We start from the raw sequence: 8,313 nt of genomic DNA on the forward strand, positions 1-8,313 counted from the left end.
ACTTATTTATGCTGCAAAGCTCACTATTTTTAGACTTCATCCACTTGGCCACTCACTAACATTCATGCAGTTGACTGATCTTTTTCAGAACCACAAGCATTCTAGATGATACTTTGCATACCTTATTTTATTAAATATTCCTAAGAAGACTATGTTAGCTTCTATTTTATCCCCACTTTTCATGTTAAAGAGACTGAAGCTCAGAGAGGTAAAGCAACTCACCCTGCATTACACATTCAGGTCTGTGGGACCCTAGAATCCTAGACATTGACCAATGTACTTGGTTGTGTCTTTTGTGTCATATTGGAAAGGAAGTGAAGACCGTAAAGGGGATATATATGGATGATGACAGGGATTAGTAGAGTGGATGTCTCTAGGCAACATAAGATCATTTTAAAGGAATAGTTAAGCAAGCAATCTAGAAGCACAGAAGCTTGAGGTCGGGTGGGAAGTATTAACAGATGACAAAAGAAAAGACCAGGTGCAGAGATAAAAGGAGAACATTGAGAACTGAAAGAACAAGAACTGAAAGAACATCAAGAACTGAAAGAGCAAGTTATTTGGTGCTTAATTCAGATGAATGGTGACATCACCTAGATGGTGTTCTCAAAATGCACGTATAAGATGAGCCATTGGAGTGTGAAGGAAATGTTAGAATGTTAATCTAATACTAGTTACATAATATTAGTTATGAACAATAAATATTTTATTACTATTAAACATATAAATTGATCCTAGTGGTGGTGTCAGCTGCTACTGTTTCTCCTCTTCTGATTTTTCTCTTCCTACTTCTTCTAATTCCTATTTCTGTTACTCTCCTTTTTCCTCCTCTTCTTCCTTCTCCTCTTTCTCCCTATTCTTCCCCTTTTCTTGGACCTACATGAAGCAGTCATGTATAATGTACATTTCCCAATATATCCTGAATGATAAGCAGAAATTTTACAGCATGGAAGGGTTGACAGTGTATTGTGGTTTACCTGAGCCTAATGCAGTGAATTTATAAATTACAATATCTGGTTTTAACTATAGTAACCCTTTTCCAAATTGAAAAGTGGTTCTAAAAGGTTACTGAAAAAAACTATGGATTCACAAAAATTAACAATGCAAGAGTGAGCAAAGAAGACAATGGCAGAGCTGCTGTAATTTCTGCTTCTACCACAAGTGCTTGGTCGGCCACATTAGAAAGTAAAATATGGATGATTAATCCCACCAACATATTCATACCACAATTCTCTTACTGAGAACACTAATGTTTTTGTACATTAAAAAATAAAATAATATGAATTTATGTCATTTTATTGCTTCTTGAGATTTAGATTCACCTGTGGCCTTGGAGAGAGGCCTAATAGATGTGGGATGGGATGGAGCATTCTGCATTGGGATGGTCCCATGGGCAGTGGCAGCCGTGGAGGCAGATTTCAGGAATCAGCATCCTTGGTCCAGTAAGTGGAATAGGTGGTCGAGGTAGCCAGTTAGCAACAAGCAAGCACATATAACATTTGTCATAGGGGGCAGGCTGAGGTGGTAGGCAGTGGTCCTGAGCATCATGGATGTGCTGGTCTGTGCTTCACACTTCACAGTGAGTCAGCAGTGGATTGTGTGAGAAGTTTGGATTTCCATTTTCCTTTAGGCAGAGAAAATTTGTTTCCCCCTATCCATGGCTTTTAGATGGTAGAAAAGTATACTGGTTTAAATTATTATCTTCTCCCTCCCTTCTAAAGAGATATTCAAGTCCTAACCCCCAGTACATGTAAATGTAACAGACACTTATTTGGAAATAAGGTCTTTAAAAATGTATATCAAGTTACAATGAGGTCAGAGTGGATTAGGGTAATCCCTAATCAAATGACTGATTTTCTTTTAAGAAAAGGAAAATTTGGACACAGAGACAGACATGTAGGGGAGAATACCATGCGAAAATGGAGGTAGATATTGGAGTGATGCATCTACAAGCCAAGAAATGTCAAAGATTGCTTGCACCCATCAGAAGCTAGCAGAGAGGCATGGAACAGATTCCCTCTCAGAACCTCCAGAAGTAACCAACACTCCTGACATCTGGATTTAGGATTCTAGCAGCCTCTGTACTGTGAGAGAATAAGTTTGTTTATTTTATTTTATTTTAAGTTCCAGGATACATGTGCAGGATGTGCAGTTGTTACATAGGTAAACCTGTGCCACGATGGTTTGCTGCACCTATCAACCCATCACCTAGGTATTAAGCCCTGCATGCATTAGCTGTTTATCCTGATGCTGTCCCTCCCCACCTCTCCACAGGCCCCAGTGTGTGCTGTTCCCCTCCCTGTGTCTGTAGTTTCCATCGTTTTAAGCCATTCAGTTTGTGGTAATTTGTTTTGGCAGTCCTAGGAAAGTAATATAGAAAGGTAGAGATTAGCTCTCTATTTTAGGAGGAAGTTAATTGATTTGCCCATTAAACATCACTATTAAAGGGCAGATTCAAGGCTAGCTATATGAACTTGGATGTGTTACTACTATACTTGGATTTTAATTTCATCTAGAAAAGGAATGGGCTAGAACCTTGGGGCAATTTCAAATTTCCATACATTTCTTCAAGTCAAAAATTGTGTACTTAAATGTGCTCCTCTTTCTCTTCTTTCCTCCTAATAATAAAACAATGAGTTATTATATGCTACTTTGTTTTGAGCAGGAGTTAAAACATAACTAGATCCATACATTTTAGACCAGGGGTGCTCAAACCTTAGCATGCATCCGAGTTACCTGTAGGCCTTCATAAACACAGAGTACTGGTTCCCACCCTCCAGAGTTCCTATTTAATAGGTCTGGGAAATTGCATTTATAACAAGTTTTCAAGTGATGTTGATGATGCTGGTCTGAATGCCACATTTTGAGAAACACTGCTCTAGTATCATGTTTTCTAAGCATCTTTCTGATTTTAACCAGGGTCATTGTGATGTTCTTGTATGATAGTGAAGTGAACTAGTAGCAAGGCAGGTTTGAGCTGCATATACGTTGGTAGAGTTGGTGGGAGAAGATGATGGCATTATCTTCTGATTGTTTCTATTTGGTAGTAGAATAGGGAGCCATCAGATGAGAGTGAGGAGGGCAGGAAGAAGTACAGGATGTTTGAAAGTAGAGGACTGGCTGTGAAACTGTCAACATGAAGAGGGGGAGAATCGACCGATGAGAAAATGTGGTAAGTTTTCTGGGCAGTTCCAAAGGCTCACAGTTAGTGGTTTAAAGTGAGACTGGTTAGCAGTGTGGCTGGTTTTTATCAATCATGGGAGCTGCTTATGTGCAGTCATGAAGTGTGCAGAGATTTAATCTAACTAGAGTTGGGCTTTTGTCAGGCAAATGCAATGAAGTATGATGCCAAAAGAGTTGAGGATATACATAAAGAAATGACAATGGTGATAGACCATGGGCTAAGGTGGGAAGGAAGGGAAGTGAGGTCTGGGTGGACAGTGAAAAGGTGACCAAGTTAATGGACTAGATTCAAAGTTGGGATGAACAGTTGTTGAAATTGGGGTACTGGAAATATAGGAGTCAATGGTTAGATGCTTAGATTGTGATTTTTGTAGATAAGAGAATAATGTCAGTAAATAAATCACTTAGTTGCCTATAATAGCAAACCTAATTAAGGCTGTCTTTATAGTTAAGTCTTGTTATTTATTTATTTTTTATTTATTTTTGAGACGGAGTTTCGCTCTGTCACCTAGGCTGGAGTGCAATGGTGTGATCTTGGCTCGTTGCAAGCTCCGCCTCCTGGATTCATGCCATTCTCCTGCCTCAGCCTCCTGAGTAGCTGGGACTACAGGTGCCCGCTACCACACCCGGCTAATTTTTTTTTTTTTTTTAGTGGAGACAGGGTTTCGCCGTGTTAGTCAGGATGGTCTTGATTTCCTGACCTCATGATCCCCCCGCCTCGGCCTTCCAAAGTGCTGGGATTACAGGCGTGAGCCACTGTACCCAGCCAAGTCTTCAATTTTGATACTTATCAAGAAGCCTCCAGGTAGACAATCCAAGACAGTTACTTACTGTTGCCATCAATAACTCAGTTTTCCCTCCCTGGCTCCCTCTTTTTATATAGTGATGGATGCAGTTTGTTTACATATTTATTTTATTTTATTTATTTTTAGGACTTTGGGATCTATGTTCATAAGAGTGATTGAACTACATATTTTTTCTTTTCCTGTAATATCCTTCTAATGCTTTGATTAGTGATATACTAACCTCATCAAAGAAGCTGTGCCGTTTAGTTTTTGTTTTCCCCTATTCTCTGGAAGGGATTGTATAAGATTAATGTATTTTTTTTTCCCCTGAGTGGCTGGAAAATTCCCCTGGTAGAGTCATTTGGGTCTGGAGTTTTCTTGGTGTAATGTTTCTGAAAGATTCAAATTTATCAATGCATTTGACTCTTGAACAATGTGGGGGTTAGGGACACCAACCCCCATGTGGTCAAATAACTATGTATGACTTCTGAGTCTCCCAAAACCTAACTATTAATCACCTACTGGTAACTGGAAGCCTTACTGATAACATAAATAGTTGATTAACACATGTTTTATATGTTATATGTATTATATACTGTATTCTTACAATAAAGTAGCTAGAGAAAATAAAATGTTATTAAGAAAATCATAAGGAAGAGAAAATGTATCTACTATTGAGTGGAAATGGATCATTATAAAGGTCATTTTCATCTCTTCAGATTGAGTAAGCTGAGGAGGAGGAGGAAGAGTTGGCCTTGTTGTCTCAAAGGTGGCAGAGGTGGAAAGAGAGGTAGGAGAGGCAGGCACATTAGGTGTAACTTTACAGAAGTACAGTAATTTCTGTCTGACTTTGCACTTTCTTTCTCCTAAAATGTTTCTATATGGTACCAATACTTCATCCACCATTTGCTTTAGTTTCTGTGCCTATATCACGGAAGGGTCCATGTAGTGAAAGAAGTCAACGGCAGTCTTGAATAATTGGAACCCTTCTGCCAAATTGTCTGATGTCCATTTGTTTTCTGGCATCACTTCTTCTATGACTTCTTCCCCACCATCTGGTACGGTTGAGAAGCATTCATCTCCATAATGTTGTCTTCTGTTAACTGCTTGCATGTGGTGTCTATTAGCTCTTGAATTTCTCTAAAACCCGTATCTTGAAATCCTTCCATCCATATCTGCTTTCCATATTCACAATCTCTTTAATGATTTATTTGATTGGTTCTGTCATAAATCCTGTGAAGTCACGCACAACCCCTCAACAAAGTTTTCTCCAACAGAAATGTATTGTTTCAGGCTTGATGGCTTTCATGGCCTTTTCTAAAACAACGATGGCATCTTCAATTGTGTAATTCTTCCAGACTTTCATGATGTTTTCTCTATCAAGGTTCTCACCCATGGTGTTAAAATTTTTTCCATAGAGTGCCATGGGCAATGAGCCTTAAAGATCCTGTAACCCCATGGTCTAGAGGCTGAATCAGAGACATTGTGTTTGGAGGTACATAGACCACTTTGGTGCCTTTGGTGTTAAACTCATGGAGTTCTGAGTGGCCAGGGGCATTGTCTAATGTCAAAAGAACTTTAAAAAGCAGTCTCTTACTCTCAAGGTACATCCTGACTTCAGAGACAGAGCACTGACAGAACCAATCCAGAAAAAGGGTTCTCATCAAGGCCTTCTTGTGTACAACAAAAAGACTGGCAACTGGTGTTTATTTTCTACCTTCAAATCTCAGGGGAAGGCTGAGCATGGTGGCTCATGTGTGTAATCTCACTGCTTTAGGAGGCCAAAGTGGGAGGATTGTTTGAGGCCAGAAGTTCAAGGCTGCAGTGGGTCATGGTTGAGCCACTGCACTCCAGCCTGGGGAACACAGTGAGACCTTGTCTCTAAAACAAAACAAAGCAAAACGAACAACAACAAAAACAAAAACCTCAGGGGTTAGCAGCTCTATAGATAAGGATAGTCCTGATCATAAACCCAAATGTTTTTGCACAAAACGGTAGAGTTAGACTATCCTTTTCTGCCTTAAATCCTGGCATTCACTTCTCTTCCTTACTAATTAATGTTCATTGTGATATTTCTTTTTTTCTATAATAGGGCACTCTTATCTGCATTAAAAACCTGTTTAGGTAAATGTTCTTTATCTTCAACCATTTTCTTTCTTTTTTTTTTTTTTCTTTTTTTTTTTTGAGACAAGTTCTCTCTCTTTCCCAGGCTGGAGTGCAGTGGTGCGATCTGGGCTCACTGCAACCTACGCCTCCCAGTCTCAAGTGATCCTCCTAGCTCAGCCTCTTGAGTAGGTGGGACTACAAGTGCATGCCACCATGCCTGGCTTCATATGTGTGTGTGTGTGTGTGTGTGTGTATATATATATGTATGTATATATATATATATATGTATGTATGTATATATATATATGTATGTGTATATATATATGTATGTATGTATGTGTATATATATATATATATATATATATATACACACACACATTTTTTTTTTTGTAGAGGCAGGATTTCACCATGTTGCCCAGGTTGGTCTGAAACTCCTGGGATCAGGTGATCCACCCACGTTGACCTCGAAAGTGCTGTGATTACAGGTGTGAGCCACTGTGCTTCGCCTATCTACAATCATTTTCTTAATGGCATCTGGGAAGTTATCTGTTGCCTTTTGACTGGCAGAAGCTGCTTTTCCTATTATTTTGACATTTTAAAAGCCAAACTTCCTTCTAAAATTATCCAACAATCCTTTGCTGGCATTAAATTCTCCAGCTTTAGATCCTTCTTTTTGCTTTAAGCTGTCAGCTGCATTTTCAATATAAGATAAAAGGGTATCTGACAAAAAGTGTAAGGCTTTTGCACCTGCTGGTGTAGCTGCAGCTATGGGTTCACAAGTTTCCTTTCCATTTTTTCAATGGTCGTTATTGCTGGATTTATTTCTCTTGAAATGGCAGGGCTACTGCAGTTACAGATCTCAATCTCTGATGCATATCCGGCAATTCAACTTTGTCTTGTAATGTCGTGACTGCTGTGTGCTTCTTGGGAGCATTGCCAGCATCACTAGTGGCACTTCGTATGGATCACATGGTGTGATTCAAGGTTTAAAGTATTGCCCTAAACACAATAAAAAATATGAGAGAACTGCAAGAGGCCATTTTTTTTCTGTGATGTGCAATTTACTGTTGAGACAAACTGCTCATGCAGAGATGATTAGCATCACAAGTCATTTAAAATGGATATTTGCAACACTTGAGCTCACTGCAATAGCCATAGGAGGTAGCTATGAAACTGTTACAGTAGTACAGTGTGAACTACAGTTAATTTCATGCCATTTTAAAACCACATCTTTACATTTGTTTATGTTTCTCTTGACTGCAAATGGTACCATGTATGGCGTATGTTTGTGTACGTAACTTTAGTTAAACATAAAGCTTTACTTTGATAAACCTAAACTTCTTATAATAGCTTTCTGTATGTTTTATGGTAGTAAATAAGTAGACTAGTATCTACATATATTTCATACATTCAAGACATATCCAACTTTTTCTTATATTTTTTAAATATTTGAGAGCTTTTAATAAATTGTCACAAATCTCCAAAAATTTTTTCAGTATATTTACTGAAATAAAACCAGTGTATGTGTGGACCCATGTAATTCAAACCCGAGTTGCTTAAGGGTCAACTATAGATAAAGCTATGAAGATTTCATATTTGTTTTTGTGCTAATTTTGGTAAATTTTGTTTTTCTAAAAAATATTTTTAAAATAAAATTTATTGTCATAAAGTTGTTTATATATCCTAGGATAAGATGTGGTTCCTTAACCAAAAACATCAGTATATTCTGGGATATTGTTAGAAATGCAAATTCTTAAGCCATGTGCCAGACCTACTGAATAAGAAGCTCTAAAGATGGGGTACAACACCTTGTATTTTAAGAAGGCCTCAGGTGATCCTAATGGGTGCCAACGTTTAAGAACTGCTGCTCTGTTAAGCTTCTGCAGTAGCCTGCAATGTTGGTATGCAGTCTTTTCATTATTATTTTATCATAATATTATTATTTTATTTTAATTTTCTACTGTGATTTCTTCTTTGATAGAAGGGTTATTTAGACAGGTTTTGCTTAATTCTTAAATCTTTGTGGGTTTTTTTGTTTTTTATTTCAAACTTAATTTCATGATGGTCAGAAAGTAAATTTTGTATGATGTTAGTTCTTAGAAATTTGTATATATTCATTTTTGATACTGGTTTCATGTGAACCAGAAAAGAATGTGCACACTGAAGTTTTTAGTACAGCGCTGATATATATTAATTAGGTCAGGTTTGTTAATGATCAAATCTTATTCATGCTTACTTG

The 8,313-nt window shown here is 37.9% G+C and overlaps 1 annotated feature.

The window, feature by feature from the left end:
- Positions 442 to 491: an enhancer, noted in NCBI's record as "active region_6085". NCBI's record gives its function as "activates an Ori minimal core promoter by ATAC-STARR-seq in GM12878 lymphoblastoid cells {active_cell/tissue: GM12878}" and the evidence as "EXISTENCE:reporter gene assay evidence [ECO:0000049][PMID:35858748]".

Source organism: Homo sapiens, chromosome 12 (assembly GCF_000001405.40).
Source record: "Homo sapiens chromosome 12, GRCh38.p14 Primary Assembly".
Classification (NCBI taxonomy): Eukaryota; Metazoa; Chordata; class Mammalia; order Primates; family Hominidae; genus Homo; species Homo sapiens.